The 19,869-nt window shown below is 56.8% G+C and overlaps 1 protein-coding gene, 1 long non-coding RNA gene and 1 other non-coding gene across 12 annotated transcripts in view, besides 9 other annotated features; all 3 read left to right on the top strand.

The window, feature by feature from the left end:
- The window catches only part of ST6GALNAC4-ST6GALNAC6-AK1 (ST6GALNAC4-ST6GALNAC6-AK1 readthrough), a 50,556-nt gene extending 37,227 nt beyond the window's left edge, over window positions 1-13,329 (top strand). For 7 of the 8 annotated variants that reach the window (NR_174625.1, NR_174627.1, NR_174631.1 and 4 more), the window contains 6 exons: window positions 5,166-5,204; window positions 6,754-6,789; window positions 6,962-7,125; window positions 7,876-7,992; window positions 11,303-11,494; window positions 11,739-13,329. This is a non-coding gene — a long non-coding RNA (ST6GALNAC4-ST6GALNAC6-AK1 readthrough). The remainder of the gene's footprint in view (window positions 1-5,165; window positions 5,205-6,753; window positions 6,790-6,961; window positions 7,126-7,875; window positions 7,993-11,302; window positions 11,495-11,738) is intronic. The other variant, NR_174626.1, reaches the window with a different exon arrangement.
- On the top strand, window positions 194-13,335 carry AK1 (adenylate kinase 1). Of its 3 annotated transcripts, none has more exon segments than NM_001318121.1 (7): window positions 194-301; window positions 5,166-5,204; window positions 6,754-6,789; window positions 6,962-7,125; window positions 7,876-7,992; window positions 11,303-11,494; window positions 11,739-13,335. In NM_001318121.1, coding segments are annotated over 6 exon segments (585 nt in total). In that variant the 5' UTR covers window positions 194-301; window positions 5,166-5,197; the 3' UTR covers window positions 11,808-13,335.
- On the top strand, window positions 10,320-10,400 carry MIR4672 (microRNA 4672). The gene has a single exon (NR_039819.1). It is a non-coding gene; the product is annotated as a microRNA 4672 (primary transcript).
- Window positions 11,811-12,105: a silencer, noted in NCBI's record as "tiled region #6524; K562 Repressive non-DNase unmatched - State 7:EnhWF". NCBI's record gives its function as "represses a minimal TATA promoter and a strong SV40 promoter by Sharpr-MPRA in K562 cells {active_cell/tissue: K562}" and the evidence as "EXISTENCE:reporter gene assay evidence [ECO:0000049][PMID:27701403]".
- Window positions 11,811-12,342: a biological region, named in NCBI's record as "Sharpr-MPRA regulatory region 6524".
- Window positions 11,842-12,342: an enhancer, noted in NCBI's record as "H3K4me1 hESC enhancer chr9:130629752-130630252 (GRCh37/hg19 assembly coordinates)". NCBI's record gives its function as "activates a minimal SCP1, AML or CMV promoter by ChIP-STARR-seq in naive and primed H9 embryonic stem cells {active_cell/tissue: H9 hESC(naive and primed)}" and the evidence as "EXISTENCE:reporter gene assay evidence [ECO:0000049][PMID:30033119]".
- Window positions 12,949-13,008: an enhancer, noted in NCBI's record as "active region_29056". NCBI's record gives its function as "activates an Ori minimal core promoter by ATAC-STARR-seq in GM12878 lymphoblastoid cells {active_cell/tissue: GM12878}" and the evidence as "EXISTENCE:reporter gene assay evidence [ECO:0000049][PMID:35858748]".
- Window positions 14,528-14,697: an enhancer, noted in NCBI's record as "active region_29055". NCBI's record gives its function as "activates an Ori minimal core promoter by ATAC-STARR-seq in GM12878 lymphoblastoid cells {active_cell/tissue: GM12878}" and the evidence as "EXISTENCE:reporter gene assay evidence [ECO:0000049][PMID:35858748]".
- Window positions 14,528-14,845: a biological region, named in NCBI's record as "Sharpr-MPRA regulatory region 4407".
- Window positions 14,551-14,845: a silencer, noted in NCBI's record as "tiled region #4407; HepG2 Repressive non-DNase unmatched - State 7:EnhWF". NCBI's record gives its function as "represses a minimal TATA promoter and a strong SV40 promoter by Sharpr-MPRA in HepG2 cells {active_cell/tissue: HepG2}" and the evidence as "EXISTENCE:reporter gene assay evidence [ECO:0000049][PMID:27701403]".
- Window positions 16,711-17,753: a transcriptional cis regulatory region, noted in NCBI's record as "candidate enhancer chr9.2869 targeted for multiplex CRISPR interference". NCBI's record gives its function as "positively regulates AK1 gene expression with high confidence in K562 cells {active_cell/tissue: K562}" and the evidence as "EXISTENCE:mutant phenotype evidence [ECO:0000015][PMID:30612741]".
- Window positions 17,184-17,393: an enhancer, noted in NCBI's record as "active region_29054". NCBI's record gives its function as "activates an Ori minimal core promoter by ATAC-STARR-seq in GM12878 lymphoblastoid cells {active_cell/tissue: GM12878}" and the evidence as "EXISTENCE:reporter gene assay evidence [ECO:0000049][PMID:35858748]".

Genomic DNA, 19,869 nt, shown 5'->3' with positions numbered 1-19,869 from the left:
TTGCCCAGGCTGGTCTTGAACTCCTGGCCTCAACTGATCCTCCTGTATCGGCCTCCCAAAGTACTGGGATTACAGGCGTGAGCCACTGCTCCCAGCCTCCAGTCATTTTTATGCAGGTGGGATCAGAAGAGTGCAGTGGGGCTTTTTGCCTATTTCTTTTTTTTTTTTTTTTTTTTTTTTTTTGAGACAGAGTTTCGCTCTTCTTGCCTTGTTGCCCAGTCTGGAGTGCAATGGCGTGATCTCGGCTCACCGCAACCTCTGCCTCCTGGGTTCAAGCTATTCTTCTGCCTCAGCCTCCCAAGTAGGTGGGATTACAGGGGCGCACCACCATGTCCAGCTAATTTTTATTTTTAGTAGAGACGGGGTTTCACCATGTTGACCAGGCTGGTCTCGAACTCCTGACCTCAGGTGATCTACCCGCCTCAGGCTCCCAAAATGCTGGGATTACAGGTGTGAGCCACCGCGCCCAGCCTTTTTGCCTATTTCTTACCAATGCTATGGGTGTCTGAAGCCTCTTGTCCCATTAACCACAAACAACTTGGACTTCCTTTCTCACTCAGACCCTATGGGAAAGTTGCTAACTCCTCACCCACCGTGGCTGTGCCATCATCCCAGTGAGTCCCTGCTGGCACTTTAAAACTTTCCTATGCAAATTTGTGCCCACATGTTTCCTTGAAACAAATTTCTTAAAGTAGAAGGGCGCATTTGAAGACTGTGTGTGTGTGTGTGTGTGTGTGTGTGTGTGTGTTTTATTTTTAGAGACGGGATCTCGTTATGTTTCCCAGGCTGGTGTTAGAATTCCTGGGCTCAAGTGAGCTCAAGTGATCCTCCCACCTCGTCCTCCTGAAGTGGTGGGGTTAACAGGAGTGACCATTATGCCCGGTCCATTTGAAATTTTGATTTACTTTGTCAATTGCTTTCCCCAAAGGTGCCAATGCACACACCCTTGAGAGGGCCTTTCAAACAGCTTCTAATGCAACACCTCTGACCCCACTGCACCTGCCCCCCCACAGATGGGGAAACTAAGGTCCCAAGAAGTAAGGACTTATCTGACATCACAGGTAGCAGAGACCCAGGCCTCCTGGTCTCCTGGCTGCTGTGGTTGCTGAGGCACCACCACTGAAGGTGGTCTCAATCTCCTGGTAGTCTCACTCTCTTGCTCAAATACCTCCTATGGCTCCCTAGGGCCTATAATACAAATTCCAAGTTCAACCCACCTCACCATCTGGGGCTGCTGCCTGGGCTCCCATCCCTGCCCGGCTACATCACTGAGCACCTACTACTATGTGCCAGTCTCCCTGCAAAACGCTGGATAAACACGTGGCTTTCTACCAGGGAACCTCCCGCAAGGTATTTGACATGCTCGCCTCCCGTTCTCTGCTGTGTCTAAGGATTCACAGATGCGGCTGGAGTCTGCTGCTTAGCACAGTGAGTGCTCATTATGGGAGCTATTCTTCTTATCAAGACCGCAAATCCCCTCTCTGGCTATCCACAGCCTTCTGAATGTCCCGGGCAACTCCAGGGGAGCAGGGCTGGTTTTCTATAATCTTCTACCTTACTGGGTGGTCTTTGGGGTCCTGGCGGGTTCCAGTCCCAGAGGAGCTCGAAGGGTCCCTCCCAACAGGGGAAGAGGAGTCCCAGGTGGGTCTCGGCCAGGGCCTCTGGGCAGGCTCTGAGGGCGGGCTTGGGGACTGTGGCCAGCAAAGCCCCTGAGTCGATGCCTCAGCCCTCTCGCTCCCTGGTCTGGCCTCTCTCTGGCACCAATGCGCTGTGGGATTTTGCGGAAAGAGCCGCTCTTCTCTGAGCCTCAGTTTCTCCAGCTATCATAGGGAAAGCCTGGCCTTGTACCCTGGAGTGTACCTTGAGCACAGTCGGGGTATCGCAATGGAAAACTCTTGGCAAACTGTAAAGTGTAGTTCGCGTGTGTGGGCACAGCCACCTGGGGGTCCACGGTGCGGGGCACACGGTGCCGGGTGCGGTGTCGCCGCGCACCCGGGCTCGGGCTCGGTCCCGCCCCGCTTCCCGGTCCCTGGTCCGCTCTCCCTCCCTCCTTCCCGCCCTCCCTGCCTTCGGGAACGCCGGCTCCCGGCATGCCGCGCGCTGACAGCCTTATAAATAGTCGCCTTTGCCGGCCGCCGCGAGGACGGGCAGGGCACGCACTGGCCCCGGCGCCCACCCGCACCCCTCCCCAGGTCAGTGCGTGCCCGCGCGTGTCTGGGGGGGCGCCTCTGCGGGGAGGGGCAGCGGCACCGGGGGAGGGCGGGGGCGTGCTGGTGCGGGGCTCCCTGGGGGCTGTGCGGCTGTGTATCCGTGGTTGTGATCCGTGTGTGTTTGCGTGGCTGTGTTCCCCGGGCGCTGGGGATCTGTGCCTCGCTGCCTGTGCCTTTGTGGATCCGTGCGTGTGTGTGCGTGTGTGTTTGTGTGTGTTGCAGCCCCTTCCAGCCTCCGAGATAGTCACCCCTTTGTTCTGGCTGGCACTCCCGGGGCTCCAGGTCACTGCCCTTGGCATGTCCCAGCTTGGGCCCAGAGAGGGAGAGCTGTGGCCTGGCTCCCTGCCCCAGAGGACCTGGACAGGGGCAGCCTCTGTGCTCCGTAGGGCTATCGTGTCACTCCACTTCTAGTGCTGGGTGCATTGGAGAACACCCCCTGGATGCTCAGAGCTTGCCCTAGCCTCCTGACCAGGGCCAGCGCTTGGGGCCTTCCCACAGCACTGCTCAGTGGCCGCCTGGTACTCCTCAGCAGCAGCAGGACAGGCCCAGAGAGGGGACACCAACTGCCCAAGGTCACACAGCTGAGTGATGGAGCTGGGATTCGAACCCTAGTCAGTTGCCACCCACTGGGAACCGACTACGTTGGGTCAGAAGCTGGGAGACCTGGGCTTGCCTTGGCCTTGTCTTGTGATTGGGGTTAAGTCACCGTCCCTCTGGGCTTCGGCCCCACAGGCCCCTTAGCAGACCATCCAGTCATATTAGGAGTCGCTGGGGCCTTGACCCAGGGGCCTTATAAGGCCTGGGTGCTTAGCCCGTAACCCAACTCCATCCTAGACCCCTGTCCTCTGTGAGGCCTCCTCACGACCCAAGTTATTTTGGATCAAGGAAGTGGCAGGTGCCATCAGGGCGGAGGGGGCTTAGATTACCAGGAGGGGGGCGGGGCAGGGCGGGGTCGAGGCCACTTCTCAGGGCTTCACTGTGGTTGTCCCTGGCCCAGGACGCTCCCCCTCCCATGGGCAGCTGCTGAGGGGCACTTGGCAGCTCCTACCCCCGCTGAAGCACACTCAGCAGGAAAAGTGGCTGCCACTCCTGCCTGGGGCAGCAGGGGCATCAGCAAAGCCACTTCAGCTGCTACTGGGTGCCAGGCCCAGCGTAGCAGAAACTCAGGGCCGAGTTGGACCCTAGCTGGCCCTCGAACCAGTCTGTCCTCCTCCCCATGCCTCAGTTTCCTCCCAAGATGGCAGTGAGGATGGAACGAGGCTCCCCAGCCCTGTGCTCAGCCCATGCCAGGCCCAGTCAATGGGATCCCAGGCCCGCAGCACAGAAGAGGGGCCCAGTACAGCGTGGTTGTGCAGTGCAGGGCAGGTTTCCAGGAGGCACCTGCCAGTGTGGGAGTGGAGGGCAGAGTCCAGGAAGGCTTCCTGAAGGAGGTGGCACCTGAGCTGAGTCCCACACAATAGCAAGGTGGGGAAAGGCATCCAGGCATTGGGTACAACATCTGCCAGTGGCAGCTGATAGGGTTGCAGAGGGCAGCAGAGGTCAGCTCACCGGGACCTATCCACTATGTCAAGGGGCCCAGGCTTTGTCTGGGAGCCGAGAGGGCCACACATGCAAGGTTGTAAGCGGGTGTGTGATGTGGTCTGATACTTGCCAGAGAAAATCCTGCAAATTGCGTGGCAGGGTGTGGAGGCTTCAAGGCCCATGTGGAGGCGGGGGCAGTGGCCCAGGCCCCTTACTTAGCACAGGACATAGTGGTGAGGAGACAGACGGAGAGAGCCTGGGGAGGGGAGGGTTGGGCAGTGGGTGTGCAGGGCTGTGGAGAGGAGAGAGGAGCCTTCACACTGACTCAGCCTGTGGCTTGGCCATAGGGGCCTGGAGCTGGGACTTGGGGAGGGCTGTTCAGAGCCTGAGAAGCCTGTGGGGCTTCTGGGGCCTGTCTCGGGGGCATGGATGTCTGGGGCTGGAGAGAAAGGCCTGGGCTGCCTGCACAGGGATGGGGGTCCTTGGAGCCTGAAGCCAAGTAGAGAGGGTGGTGTGGGTGCCTTGGGTGGAGGTCCCGGTGCGGGTGGGGTCGCTGGCTGGAGGTCAAGGCTGGAGGGGAGTGTGGCTGTGGTGGTTGCGAGTGGCCTTGGGGAGGGCTGGTGGCTGGGAGTGAAGAAGTGGAGGCCAAAGGTGTCCAGAGGGCAGTTCTGAGATAGGGGGGCGAGGTAGGGGAGGTCCTGGGGGCTGTGGCAGCACAGGGTGGGGTCGCAGGTGTGATTGGGCTCATGGGCAGGCTGAGGGCAAGGTGGGGGCAGTAAAGCCAGGTCCTCAAAGGGTGGGGGTGCAGGGGACATGCGTGGGGCTGGTTGTTGGGCCTGTAGAGGTGAAGAGCCTGGGACCGCCTCACTTTGACAACTGTAAAGGGCTGTGTTCATGCGAGCGGCTCCTGTAGATTCCTTCACCCCAGGCCTCTGTCCCTTAGAGGATCCCCATCCAAACCTCATCCCAGACACACATAGTTCCTGGCCACCTCCCACCTCCTGGCAGCTTCCCTCTGGCCCTGGGGAGCGTTGTCAAGGTGTCTGGGCAGACGCTGGCCCTGCGCCCTGTTTTCTGGGAGTTTCGAGGGGAGCAGCTCTGCAGTTGTGTGGCCGCTGTTTATGTCCCTCGGTGCCATCCTCACTGTCCCAGCCCCTCCAGCGGGAACCCAGGTGGATGGGAGGGGGCTACTGCCCTTCTGTGACAGGTGAGGCCATGGAGGCCAGAGAGGAAAGGTGACTTTTCCAAGGTCACTTTCCCAAGGTGGCTTTCTCAGGGAAGGGGTCCTGGGCCTTCCCTGCCCCCAGCAGCCCCCTCTGCCCTCAGACTGCATGTCGGGCCTGGCACACACCAGTTGCCTTGGGTGTGGCTTAGTGGAAGGTGAGTCAGGGTGAGGAGGAAAATCCCTCCCCAACCTGTGCCCTTGTCTTACAGAGCACTGACACGGCTCCCGGGACCTCGGCAGGATGGAAGGTATGAGCCTCCTCTCCTTTTGCCCATTGCCTGGGCCTCAGTGTGCCTGACTATTAAGGGGGTGCGCTCTCAGGGAGACATTCTGGGAGGGGTTGGAGGAGGCTCTGGGGCTGCCGGAGGGGGCCTGGCTGGGAGCCTCCAGTATCCTCCTCTGGCCTCTCACGGGATGTGCCAGCTCCAAGATTAATTTTAGACGTGACGAGGCCTCCCCAAGGCTCCTGAGGGCCCCAGCGCACACCCCCTATGCTGGGTTTATAGAGCTGAGACCCTGCCCCATGGAGAGGCCACAGATACACAAAACACCAGGTCTAATGAGGACAAGGCAATTCCCCGTACCTCTCCGGGACTCAGTTTCCCTATCATCCAGTGAGGGTGGGCCTTGAGGAAGTCTTGGACCCTCCTAGTTCCTATGGGCTGGGACTTAGAGGGAGACACGGGCAGGCAGAGAGTCCAGAACGGGCCCGCCCTCAGCTGCTGGCAGCACCATCCGTCCAGTTCCTGGCACTGTGCCTTGGCCTGGGCAGCTCTTAAAGACACCCAGCGGGCCTGCTGCTGCTGCTGCTGCTGCTCTGCCTGAGCTCCAAATATCAACAGCCATAGGGCTGCGGCCACTGCACCCCCGGGATAGGGGCCCACAGGAGGAGCCCTTCTTGACAGCTCCTGTAGGGCTCCAGCCTTATGGCTGGGAGGGCCCCTGGGAGCCGCCCAGCCCACCTCCTCCCTGGGGAAGGGGCAGAGAACCAGAGAGGGGCAGGCCTTTCCTAAGTCACACAGCAAGGTGGGATACAGCCTGGTCCTCTATTTCCCTGGGAAGCGGGGGAGCCTGAAAGCCCAGTGGGGAGCTTGGGTTCTGGTTTTGGTTCTGACATCCCTTGAGCAGGCCTTCCCTCTCTCGAGCTCAGTTTCCCTCTGCCCAGTGGGGCTGTGGCCTTGCTGGGATCTAACAGCAGGCGGGACGAGACAGAGGTTGGAGCCAAGCTCACCGCCCTCTCTGGGCAAGAGTTCCACATGCCCACCACAGCCCTCCACCCCGGCAACTGTCTCCATGGCAACATATGTTGTGGTTGCTAAGCCCCCACTGCCGGGGGAGGCGGGTGATGGGCCGGCCCAGGGCCTGAGAGGGGAAGGGCAGGGTGCACAGGAGACACGGCAGGACGGGACCATGGGCTGCTGCTCCTCGAGTGACCCCCGCAGAGAAGACGATCTGAGAGCCAGAGGTGACCGGCCCCGGGGTCCAGGCACCCACAGGGAGGCGCCATGAGGGCTGGCGGCCCAGCCCGCTGGCTGTGTGGAGAGTACTTAGCCTTTAGGCTTTTGCCTCTGCCCGTCTGGCTGCCTGGAGCACCCTCTCTTCCCTGACCTCTCCCAGGCTCCGAGCTCACTCACATCCCTGCTGACTCTGGGCTGTGACTTGTCTGCCTCCCTGACAGGAGCGCCAGCGGTGTCTGTCCCTCCGCCTGGGGCCCAGCACAGGCCTGGGACTCCAGAGGTGCCTCTGGCTGTGGGTCCAGCGAGTGACTGAGCCCTGCTCCCCTTTTCTCTCCCGCAGAGAAGCTGAAGAAAACCAAGATCATCTTTGTGGTGGGTGAGTTGCGGGCAGGCGGGTGGTGCAGCAAGGGTCTTCACTGGCACTGGAGGGAGCCCGGGCCTGGGGCTGCACCCTGGGCTCTGCCCCTCCCTCTCTGGGAGACCCTGGCAGCCCCTGTTCCTCCTGGGACCCTGTGTCTCGGGGTTTATGAATGGGTGGGCGTTTGCAGGTGGGCCTGGCTCAGGGAAGGGCACCCAGTGTGAGAAGATCGTGCAGAAGTATGGCTACACCCACCTCTCCACCGGGGACCTCCTGCGGTCCGAGGTCAGCTCAGGCTCGGCCAGGGGCAAGAAGCTGTCGGAAATCATGGAGAAGGGGCAGCTGGTTCCACTGGTGAGTGGGCCCTGGTGGGGTGAGAGGCAGGGGATGACAGTAGCCCTGAGTGGGTGTCCCACCAGCAGCAAAGCCCACGGCACACAGGCAAAGCTGACCGTAACCGCCCCCGGCTCCAAACCCTTCTGTGGTTCCCCATTGCCCTGGACAGAAAGTTCCTTCCAGAAGCTCCCAAGACCTTGCAGGACTCTGCCCTGCCCCCAACTCTCTCCCTTCCCTCCATCCTTCAGCCACCCTGGCCTCTGTCCCCTCAGACTAGCCATACTCCTTCCAGCCTGGAATATTCTTTCCTCTTCAGCTTTCAGACTTCCCTAACTCCCCAGATTTGGCCTAAGACCTCCCCCCCCAATTTTCTACTCCAGAAGCCCCACTTCTCTGCCCGTACAACCTGTGCCATGCTTAGAAATGGAGAAATCATCTGTGGAATGTGTCTGTCCCCTCACCAGCCCCTGAGCTCCCCAGGGCAGGGAAGGCCTAATTGGTCCATGGCCGTGTCCTCGGGACCCAGGACAGCACCTGGCTGGAAGGAGGGTCTCAGTGAATACTGTTGAGTGAATGCATCATTCATTCATTCATTCACTCAGTCCAGGTCTCCACAATTCCGAGGAAGCTTCCTGGAGGGGGAGGCTTGTTTGGGACATTTGTGTTGGGGAGAGGGCATTTCAGGTGGCAGGAGCAGCGTGAGCAGAGGCTGGGAGAAGGGATGGGGAGGAGAGGCTCATGGCCCCTTCCTCCTTTGCTGTGCCCCAGGAGACAGTGTTGGACATGCTCCGGGATGCCATGGTGGCCAAAGTCAATACTTCCAAAGGCTTCCTGATTGATGGCTACCCGCGGGAGGTGCAGCAAGGAGAAGAGTTTGAGCGACGGGTAAGGCACTGACCCAAGTGGGGATCCTGGTGGGCTGGGGCAGGATAAGACTCCCATCCCCATGGGCGGGCCTGCGGGGGCTGTGATGCAGGTCAGAGTTCTGAGCAGAGGCTGATTCATGGAGTGTGGGTGAGGAGGAAAACCAGGAAGACTTTCTGGAAGTGTAGAAGAAAATGTGTAGAAGGGGAAGCGCCAGGAGGGGCAGTTGCCAAACCTGGGCTCAGATTCCAGCTCAACGGCTTGAGATCTTGGGCCAGTCATTCTGCCTCCTGAACCTCAGTTTTCCCATCTGCAAAATGCAGGGAGTGGGAGGACCAGGTCACAGCTGCCTTAAGGGACAGTGTGGGGACTGGAGAGGATGTGCCCTTCCAGTGTGGGCCTTGGCTCCCTATAAACACACAGAGGGGCAGGGAACAGCACTGGCAGGGCTGGAAAGGCAAGGCCAGTGTGGGGAGAACAGAATATGTGGGCAGGACAACAAGGGAGGTTCCAGCCTGGCTGGAGGCTGCAAATGCCATAAAGGGACATCAGTCTCCTTCCAGGGGTCATGAGGAGCCTGGCTGGAAAGAGCAGGCCTGGAAAATGATGGCCCTGAGCTTCCTAGCACGAGCATCCTGCAGATACACCTTCCCCAGGATGGGGCACCCCACACACGCACACACGTGGACGCTTGCACATACACATGCACAAGCCCCACAAGTTCATACACACAAGGCCAGGGGCATGTGCACACATGCACACACACGGCAGTGGATACTGCACTCCTGCACATGCATGTCACGGACGCAGCACACATATGCAGGAATGCACACGTGCTCGCACACATGGCCCTGTGCACACACATACACTTTTACCTCGGTGTCACAAGGCTGTATGGGAGAAATAAACGGGACTGCAAGGGCCTAGGAGGGAGAGGTCGGCAAGGGCTAGGGGGAGCCTAACCAGCATCCTGGTGGGCTGGGGCAGGATAAGACTCCCATCCCCATGCCCCATTCCCATGCCCCATTCCCATGCCCCGTCTCCGTAGGGCCTTCTGGGCTTCCGTAGCTTCCAGCCTCATCTGGGGATAGGAGGCCATATTTTCTGACCTCTGAGTGGCTGCATGAGTGGCTGCAAGACCTCAGGAAAGTGTCTACCCCACTCTGCCCCTCACCTTCCCTATCTGAAATGGGGGTTAGCTGGATTCCTTCAGACCTCAGACCCCTGACCCTGTGTTAGGTGCCACAGTTCTGAAAGATGTCCTGGCCTGGCTCACACATACCAGCTGTGTGGTACCACCTGTGACCCTCAGGGCCACATCTAGAAAATAGAGTTAATGAAAGTCGGCCGGGTGCAGTGGCTCACGCCTGAGATCCTAGCACTTTGGGAGGCCAAAGAGGGCAGATCACTTGAGGTCAGGGTCAAAACCAGCCTGGCCAACATGGTGAAAACTCATGTACTAAAAATACAAAAATTAGCCAGGCATGGTGGCGGGCGCCTGTAATCCCAGCTACTCAGGAGGCTGAGACACGAGAATCATTTGAACCTGGCTGGACGGAGGTTGCAGTGAGCCAAGATCACGCCATTGCACTCAAGCCTGAACAACAGAATGAGACTCCGTCTCAAAAAAAAAAAAAAAAAAAGTCCCCACCCTTCCAGGGCTGTTGTAGGTGCCGCTGAGGGCCGCAGGCTCAGCCCTGGTCCCATCCCTGCTGTGGCCTCCAGGTGTCCGGGCAGCTGGTCTTCTTGGCTCTGGACACCAGGGGGCGCCAGGGCTTCACCGAAGGAGGGAGGGTCAGCCTGGAAGTGTGGCCGGCTCACACCCAAAGCTTTTCTGGAGACTGGCAGTGCCCGTTGTGGACTCCCCGGGCTAGATGTCCATTGTCCTGACAGGGAGACTGAGGCCCCACAGCCAGAATCTCAAGCCCAGAGGCTGAGCTGGCTCTCCCAGATTTACCACCTCTGCTGGGTGTGTGTAAAGAGCCTACTGTGCTTGGTCCTGGAGACCCAGATGAACCAGAGACTGTGAGTCTGTGCCCTGGAGGAGCTCAGCAGCTGATGGATGATGATGGGGGGTGGGTGACCTTGAAGTTGAGGTCAGACTGCTGCATCCAGGCCCAGCCTTTGCCCCCATGGTAATCTGTAAGGTAGAAGCAGCCGCTGGGTGGTACGGAGTCATCTCCCTGAAGGCAGCTGACGCTGTCACCCTGAATCCTTAACTACGGAGGAGCTAGGGATGAGCGCTAGGATGGGTATCGCAGGCGAGGACAAAGGGCTTGCCCCAGGTCACACAGCTGAACAGAGGCAGGGGTGAGCCTGGGTCCAGGTCAGTCTGACGCCGGAGGTCAGGCTGCTTCTCGCCTCTGTCCAGCTGTGTGGCCTTGGACAAGCCTCTTGGTTACACAGCTGGACAGAGGCACGAAACAGCCTGACCTGAGAGGCAGTGCCCCAAGGCCTTGACAGGGGTCCAGGGCCAAAGCTGCGCAGAAACCCTTGGGGGCTGGCCCAGGCAGTTGGAAGCAGGAGACAGGGTTTGAAGGTCCCAATCCCATTCCTAAAGCTGTGGCAGTCATGGGTGACTCTGGGGTGGCTCTGCCCTCCCAACCAGGCAGCTGTGGTAGCTGGATTGAGCGAGGCAGGGGCTGCAGAACCTTATTCCTCTTGCCTTTCCAAGGCGTCCCATGGATGACATGGATGACATGCTGTTCCAATGACACGGACATTGCTCAGAACCCCCCAGGACTCAGCAGCCCCTCACCCCTTCCCTCATCCCTTGTTCCTTTGTCAAAGGACCCCAGAATTGTGAGACAAGTGCCTCCCTGCCCTCAGGGGCCCTTGGGAGACCTGCTTAAGGAAAGATAAAGGCGCTGGAAGAGCCTGTTCCAGGAGGCGGGGAGTACTGGGGGGCGGGGGGTGGCATCAGAGAGACTGCCCTGAGGAAGTGAGCTTCGCACTGAAACCTGATGCTTGGTATTGAGGTGAAGGCGAGTTAGGATCAGGCTCGGGGGAGAGGGCTCCTAGCAGAGGGAACAGCATGAGCACAGGTCTGGCATGGAAGGAGGTTGATGAGAGCCTAGAGCAGAGAGAGTCAGGCTCTCTCAGTCTGGCAAGTAGTGTGGACTTTCTCCTGAGGGCACTGGGGAGCCATGGTGTAGGTTTGAGCAGGGGAGTGGCAGGAAAGATTGGTTTTAGGAAGGTCTTTCAGGCTGCCTTGGGGAAGGGATTGAAGGTCTGAGGGGGTATCTACTGGGGCTTCATAGATGGGAAGATGGGGAGGAGATGGCCCTAGGGGGCAGGAATGGGGTCCCTGTGACATGGTGCCCGCCTGCAGATTGGACAGCCCACACTGCTGCTGTATGTGGACGCAGGCCCTGAGACCATGACCCAGCGGCTCTTGAAACGTGGAGAGACCAGCGGGCGTGTGGACGACAATGAGGAGACCATCAAAAAGCGGCTGGAGACCTATTACAAGGCCACAGAACCTGTCATCGCCTTCTATGAGAAACGTGGCATTGTGCGCAAGGTGGGCCCCGCGGGCCCAGGGGCAGCTCCGGGAAGAACGGGTTCCTATGTGGCTCCGCCTCAGCTCACTGTGTGGCCTCAGGCCAGCCCCTCTCTCTGGGCCTTGGTTTCCCCACTGGTTCAATGAGGGGCTGCTGTCAATTAGGTTGGGCTCGGGGAGGCAGGCCTGGTCTCTGGGGCCTGCCATGGTGAGGCCCACCCCACTCCACCTGGTGACTCAGCCCTCACGGCCCATCTCCCCACAGGTCAACGCTGAGGGCTCCGTGGACAGTGTCTTCTCCCAGGTCTGCACCCACCTGGACGCCCTAAAGTAGCAACGCTGGAGCCGCTTCCCCAGCTCAGAGCCCCGCCCCACCCCGTCCTGATTCGAGGTCCTCCTGGCCTGAGCGCAGCGCCTCCACCCTGCCCTGCTGAGCACAGACGGAGGAAGCCGCTTATCCTGTTTTCATGGACAGCTGAGCACTAAAGGAATTTCTAAGGACATTTGGTTTTACTGCTTTTTCTCTGCTTCCAGTTGGAGTTGATTCATGTGCTTGTGCCTACCTGGCCGCAAGTCCCCAGCCCCTCAACCCTCCGTTCCTCCTCAGCCTCCCTTTGCCAGCCACCCCTCCTCTAGCTCTGGTGGGAGGCCCGGGGCCCTTCCTCGCACAGGGCATGCCTGGCCTGAGGACCCGGCGCTGAGTGGCGGGGCCCCTGCTCCGAGGGGCTCATGTTCAGGCAGAACCGGTCCCAGCCTGGGCTCCTCTGCATCTTGCTCTGTGGCCTTGGCCCTGACCCCCATCGCTCTGAGCATATGTTCCATGCCTGGCCCTTGCCGGGGCCTGGACTGCACAGGCAGCAAGGTCATGGTCTGAGTGGGGCTTCCTGGGCAGTTGGGGCGGCCCACGCCAGCTGGCCCAGTGGGTAGTGAATTGGCTTCCTTGACGCGAGAGGCTCTGAGGGTCTGAAAAGGGCATCTCAATGGCATGGGTGGGTGGGGAGTCAGTCATGTCACTGAAATTGAATGGGGGAGGCCCAATGAGGTGGCTCATGCCTGTAATCCCAGCACTTTGGGAAGCTGAGGCAGGAGGATCCCCTGAGGTCAGGAGTTCGAGAGCAGCCTGGCCAACATGGCAAAACCCCTTATTTACTAAAAATACAAAAATTAGCCGGGCATGGTGGCATGTGCCTGTATTCCCAGCTACTCATGAGGCTGAGGCAGGAGAATGGCGTGAACCCGGGAGGTGGAGCTTGCAATGAGCCAAGATTGCGCCACTGCACTCCAGCCTGGGTGACAGAGCAAGACTCCGTCTCAAAAAAAAAAAAAAAAAAAAAGAAATTGAATTGGGGGAGTCATGGTCAGGGGTGAGACCTGAAGGACCTCCCCCTGTGTGGCCCTGGACACAGCCCACCCTCTGTGAGCCGTTTCCAATTCTAAAACAGACTCAATGTCCCCCTCACCCCCACCTCAAGGTCAGGATGAGAACACACTGAGTGAGGAGTGGACGCTGTCCATTGCCACGGCCATGAGGGCTGGAGACCAGAACAGCATGGCCCGAAGCGTGCGGGGCCCCGGATGACTTGGGGACACCCCAGAATCCCCTGGGGAGAACCCTTCCTGCGCGCTTTCATTTTTTGACCTCATCACTGAGAAAGGCTCAATTTGGTGCTCACGTGTCCTTAACACCTGATCTGGCCCAAGCTGGGCTCCCTTTAAGCCAAGAGAGCCTCTTGTGGACCCCGCCTGCCCGAATGAAATCCGAACAGTTGGGGCTGTTCATGGCAAGTGGGGCTGGTTTTTCATTTCCATTGGTTATTTAAAGTTTCCTTTAAAATAAACGATTTTAAGTTATAAAAGGTGAATCTATTGAAAGAAGAACATGAAAGAAATAAACAGGAGTTCAGCGGAGCTAGCAGAAGACAAGGCATGTAGGGGGAGCCATTCTGTCCCAGGGAAGTTGTGGAGGGTAGGGGCTGTGTGGAGGCCTCTGCAGCTGGTCCTCGGTTTTCCGCATCGGCAGAAAACTGATGGGGCACGCAGGGACACCGCAGGCTCCAGGTCCTGGGTCCTGCATCTGTCAAACCAGATTCACACACACACACTCACACACGCCAGCGCGCGCACACATGCACTCACACATACACACTGATCCACACACTTGCACTCCCACACACGCATGCACACACACTTTTACACACACGCATGTGCACACAAACCACTCATCCATACACACATTTACACAGTCACCCACACGCACTCACACTGACCCAGACACTTGCACTCCCACTCACACAAACACACTTGCACACACACTCATTCACACACATTTACACATGCACACATTCACACACTTGTACACACAAACCACTCACATTCACACACATCTGCACACTCACAGTCATGCAGTGCACACACCACACACGTGCACACAAACCACTCACATTCACTCTTACACGCACACACACTCACTGTCTCACACATCCATTCTGTCTCAGGATGAAGACAAAGTAATAAAGATAAGGAGGCGGTTTGGTGGGGGGGTCCTAGTTCTTTCTCATCTACCTTATCTTTATTTTGATCACAGCTTCATTCATCCGGGTGAGTCCCAGTTTGTGAAACCTAAGCTGATTCAAATTGTCAAACGATTCACCACAGAATCACTTTATCCACGTAAACAATACCTACCTATCATCTCTCTCCCTCTCTCATCTGTCTAGATGCAGATATCCTCTTTGCTGAAAACTTGGAAACGCAAAAAGTTTTAAAGCCCTGGGAACCACCACCCCGTCCTTGCCACCGTAAACCTTCCTTTGGGAATTTCTTTCATGCATGTTTGCTTGTTCTGTAGACATTGCTGGAGCACCCGCCGTGCCAGCGAGACAGAGGCTTAGAGGCCCCTGGCCTGCTGCGATATGGCTCCCAGCACGAGGAGAGGCCTCTGTTCGCAACATCCCGTCAGACCCACTCAACCAAGACCAGTTCTGGGCAGCTGAGTGCACCAAGCTCAGAGGAGACCTAGTGGTGGGAGGTTCCTTGACCAGAGTTCTGGGGCAGGGCCCTGAAGACACCTGGGAGTTCGCCACAAGACAGAGGGCAAGAAAGGACAGAGGGAACAGCTCTGCAGAGCCACAGAGGTGGAAAGGACCTGTGGGTGTTGGGAGAGCTGAGACCGCAGAGGGGGGCTGTAACGCAGGCTAGCGGGGTGGCGGTAGCAAGAGACAAGGCTAGCAGTGTACGAACCAGACTCACAGGGTTTCTCATAAGGGCAATGAGAGGCTAAGAAAGAGGTGTTTTTTGGTTGGTTGGTTTTTTTGCAACAGAGTCTTACTCTGTCACCCAGGCTGTAGTGCAGTGGTGCAATCTCGGCTCACTGCAACTTCTGCCTCCTGGGTTCGAACAATCCTCCCACCTCAGCCTCCCAAGTAGCTGGGATTATAAGTGTGAACCACCATGCCCAGCTAAGCAGGGTTTCACCATGTTGGCCAGGCTGATCTCGAACTCCTGACCTCAAGTGATCTGCTTGCCTCAGCCTCCCAAAGTGCTGGGATTACAGGCATGAGCCACTGCACCTGACCAAGAGGTGTATTTTTGTGTGTTTTTTGTTTGTTTGTTTGTTTGTTTGTTTAGAGACAGGGTCTTACTCTGTTGTCCAGGCTAGAATACAGTGGCACAATCATAGCTTACTGCAGCCTCAAACTCCTGGGCTCAAGTGATCCTCTTGCCTCAGCCTCCCAAGTAGCTGGGACTACAGGTGTGCACCACCACACCCAGCTAATTTTTAAAATTTATTTTATTTTGAAATGGGGTTTCTCAGACTCTTGAGCTCAAGTGATCTGCCCACCTCAGCGTCTCAAAGTGCTGAAATTACAGGTATGAACCACCACGCCTGGGTTAATTTTTATTTTTTATTGTAGACAGGGGTCTCAGTATATTGCCCATGCTGGTATTGAACACCTGGCCTCAAGTGGCCCTCCCGCCTCTGCCTTCCAAAGTGCTGGGATTACAGGTGTGAGCCACCACATCTAGCCAGTTTTTGTTTTTTGTTTGTTTTTTTTTTAACAAAAATTGGAAGAAAATGTATACTGAACACCCGTATACCCATCAACATTTAGCAATTGTTAACATTTTCCCATACTTGCTTCCTTGTTTAACTTTTGCCAAAGTATTGTATTTTTATTTATTTATTTATTTGAGACCAAGTCTCACTCTGTTGCCCAGGCTGGAGTGCAGTGGCGTGATCTCGGCTTACTGCAACCTCTGCCTCCTGGGTTCAAGCGACTCTCGTGCCTCAGCCTCCCAAGTAGTTGGCATTATAGGCACGCACCACCACACCCAGCTAATTTTTGTATTTTTAGTAGAGACGGGGATTCACCATGTTGGCCAGGCTGGTCTCAAACTCCTGACCTCACCTGCCTCAGCCTCCCAAAGTGCTGGGATTACAGGCGTGAGCCACCATGCCTAGCCTTGCCGAAGTATTTTAAGTAAATTACAAATATGAGAAAAATTTACCCCTAAAGTATGACCAAAGTCTGGGCACTCCACTGCAATCCAGCCTGGGCAACAGAGTGAGACCCTGTCTCAAAAAATAAATAAAAATAAAATAAATAAAGTATGACCAAAAATAAGAACATTTTCCTAAATAACCACAATTCAGAGTTTCAATAACACTAAATTCAGACTCTTGCCACTCTCACACACACTCTCATAATAGCTAATAGCCCGTGTGCAATTTTCCCCAGTGTCTGCAAAATGTGTCTTATAGCTCATTTGTTGAAACTTGCATGCAATCCAGGACTGCACATCGCATTTGGTTGTGATGCTCATCAGATCTTATTTATTTATTTATTTATATTTTTGTTGCGACAGTCTCGCTCTGTCACCCAGGCTGGAGTGCGGTGGTGCAATTTCAGCTCACTGCAACTTCCACCTACCAGGCTCAAGTGATTCTTGTGCCTCAGCATCCCAAGTAGCTGGGACTACAGACGCGCACCACCATGCCTAATTTTCGTATTTTCAGTACAGACGGGGTTTCATCATGTTGCCCAGGCTGCTCTCGAACTCCTGGCGTCAGGTGATCTGCCTGCCTCGGCCTCCCGAAGTGCTGGGATTACAGGCATGAGTCATTGAGCTCAGCCAAGATCTCTTTTAATCTAGGACCACTCTCCCCCTCTTTCTGTGAAGGAACCAGCTGTTCTGTGGAGAATTCCTCCTCCTACATTCACCTGTCCCTCCTTATGGTGTTGTTTAACTTGCACCTTTATCCTTCAACATTTCTGTAAACTGGAAGTTAATTGTAAAGTCTTCGTAGATTCAGGTTAAGCCTTTGGGCCACACTCGTGACGGGTTTTAAAACCAGACAGGAAGGTTAGATCTGCAGCACTTCCAGCTTTGGTGCACGCACGAATATCCCGGGGTGGGGGCCTTGTGAAAAAGCTGATTCTCATTCAGCAGGTCCAGGTTAGGTGGTGACGCCCAGGCTGCCGGTCTACGGCTGACACCGTGAGCAGCTTAGGGAGATCCTGCTTGGCGGAGGGAGGGCCAGAGGGGGTCCGGTGGAGGCAGGAGCTCAGGGAGGAGTGTGGAGGAGGAGGGGACCCCTCCAGGGTCAGTGAGTGCTCACCCCCACTGGTGGACTGAGAGTTGGGCGTGGTGTTGGGTTGGATAACGTCAATGCTGTCACACGCTTCTTATCTCTAGGGACACTCCAGGCAGTGGCTTGTCCCAAGGTGCTGGAACATTCTGACCAGCCAGTGGGATTAGAGCCTCTATAACCTGGGTGCTCCCGGGCAGGACTCACTTGGTAGTGGCCTCAGATGACCCCTGCTCTCCCCCCACCCCCCGCAAAGACTGTGCCTCCAGGTCTTGGCCTCGAGGGCCCTGAGGGCCTGGGCCGGAGGCGCTGAAGTGGGAGAGGAAGGAAGTGGGGAGCAGAGGAGGCCAAGGCTGTCGCCTCCCAGCCGCTCTAGGGGCCTCGAGTAAACAGGAAGGCCTGGCGACTCCGCGAGGGGGGGCTTTAGAGGAGTGGGGGCCAGGAGCCCTGTTGGACACGTGCAGCCTGTGCGCACAGGGCTCCCTCACTAGGGAAGTGGGCCCAGAGAGGCTGTGTGGTTGGGCCCAGAGAGGCTGTGTGGTTGGCCCCAGGTCGCACAGCAGCAGGGGCAGGGGGTGAGACCTTCTCCCTGTGCCCAGGGGTTCTAGTGCGTGGGCTCCTGCATGGGTTGCCATGGTGGGAATATACACTGAAATAATAATAAGCCAGGCTCAGTGGCTCACGCCTGTAAACCCAACACTGGGAGTGCTGGGTGAGTCCCTTTCCCTCTTGGGCCTCAGTTTCTCTTTCTATGAGCTCAGAGCCCTTACCACTCAGAGGTTCTAGAATCCTGGCCCAGTGGAATCCTCTGTCTCCTAGGGGGGTTTATGGGTTCTTTAGCTCTAGGGGGTGTGTTTCATCAGGAAGGCCAATTTCACCCAGGATTTGGAGGCTCCAGCTCCCAGGGCCCCTTCCTTGGGGAAAGAGAGGGTGACTTTAAGGGACTCTGCTCTTCTAGAACAGAGTAGGGTCTGGCGGGACGTGACCAAACCCTACTCTTGGGGAGTCATTCCCCCTCTTCAGAGACCCTGTCCCTGCGCTCAGAATGCCCCCAACACCCATACCCTGGGGACTCAAATCATCGCCCGTGAGACCTTGAGCCGTATAACCCAGTGGCCAAACCCACTCATTGATTCACAAGCTTCTTCAGCACCTGCCAGGCCAGGCACTACTCCTAGTGATGGGGATTCAGCAGCAAACAAGGCAGAACCCCGGTCCTCATAGAACTTCTGTTCTGGAAAGGAAGACAAATCAATCAACAATATCTAGTGTGTCAGCCGGGTACTGTGGCTCACGCCTGTAATCCCAGCACTTTGGGAGGCCGAGGATGGTGCATCACCTGAGCTCAAGAGTTCGAGACCAGCCTGTCCAACATGGCGGAACCCCGTCTCTACTAAAAATACAAAAATTAGCAAGGTGTGGCGGCGAGCACCTGTAATCCCAGCTACTCAGGAGGCTGAGGCAGGAGAATCCTCTGGGAGGCAGAGGTTGCAGTGAGCCGAGATCATGCCACTGCACTCCAGCCTGGACAACAGAGCAAGACTCCGTCTCCAAACAAACACAAACAAACAAAAAAACAATATCTAGTGTCAGATGGTGCCATGTGGGCCCATTGCTAGTGGGAGGAGAGGGCTGTTTTAAATGCGCTGCTCAAGGAAGACCTCGCTGGCCGTGTGACATTTGATCAGGGATGAGGGAGCGAGCCCTGTGGCGACCTAGGGGAAGAATGTTTCAGCGAGCAGTAACAGCAGGTGCAAAGGCCCTGGGGTGGGCGTGTGCTTGGCACATTTGAGAAAGAGCAAGGAGCTGGGGTGGAGTAGGGTGGAGGTGAGCAGAAGGGGAGGCTGAAGAGGGGGCAGGGAGAAACTCATTGGCCTGAGGGGCTTTGGCTTTGACTCTGAGGGAGACGATGGCCAGTGGAGGGTGCTGAGCAGAGCCAGGACGGAATTGGACTGAAGCTCCCGTGATAGCGGAGAAAAGGCTGGGGGCAAGTTGGAAGCAAGGTGGGCTCAGTGCAGGGACTGGGGACTGTGACATTCCAAGAGGGAGGTGGCTGTGGGTGGTGAGAAGCAGCCATATTCCACAGTCCCTGGGAATCTGAGGGAGGGCCTGCCAGATTTGCTGTGGCTTGGATGAAGGCATGAGAGAAAGACCCAAGGTCAACCCCAAGGCTTGTGTAGTAGGAGGAGGTCAAGGTCTGAGATGGAAAGACTGAGGCAGGAGCAGTTTGCAGAGAAAGAACAGAGCCCAGTTTTCAACGTGTGGAGTCTGAGATACGACATCCAGGGCCCTGGAGCCAGGGGGAGTTCTGGCTGGAGACATACAGTCGGGAGCCCTTGATATCTAGATGGTATTTAAAGCTGTTGTCTGGACAAGGTTGCCTGGAACAGGCCTTCTCAAACGTTGACGTGCACACGATTCCCTTGGGGATCTTGTGAAAACGCAGGTTCGGATCCAGCAGGTCTGGGACAGGACCTAAGAGTTTGATTTCTTTTTGTTTTTTTTTTTTTTTGAAACGGAGTTTTCCTCTGTTGCCCAGGCTGGAATACAGTGGTGTGACCTCAGCTTGCTGAGATCAACCTCCGCCTCCCGGGTTCAAGCAATTCTCCTGCCTCAGCCTCATGAGTAGCTGGGATTACAGGCGCGCGACCCCACACCTAATTTTTGTATTTTCAGTAGAGACAGGGTTTCACCATGTTGCCCAGGCTGGTCTCGAACTCCTGACCTCAGGTGATCCACCTGCCTCGGCCTCCCAAAGTGCTGGATTACAGGCGTGAGCCACTGTGCCCAGCCCTTGCATTTCTTT

The sequence above is a fragment of the Homo sapiens genome, chromosome 9 (assembly GCF_000001405.40).
Source record: "Homo sapiens chromosome 9, GRCh38.p14 Primary Assembly".
In the NCBI taxonomy this organism is placed as follows: Eukaryota; Metazoa; Chordata; class Mammalia; order Primates; family Hominidae; genus Homo; species Homo sapiens.
Note: the sequence above shows the minus strand (reverse complement) of the source record. Positions and strands in the feature narration are given on the sequence as shown.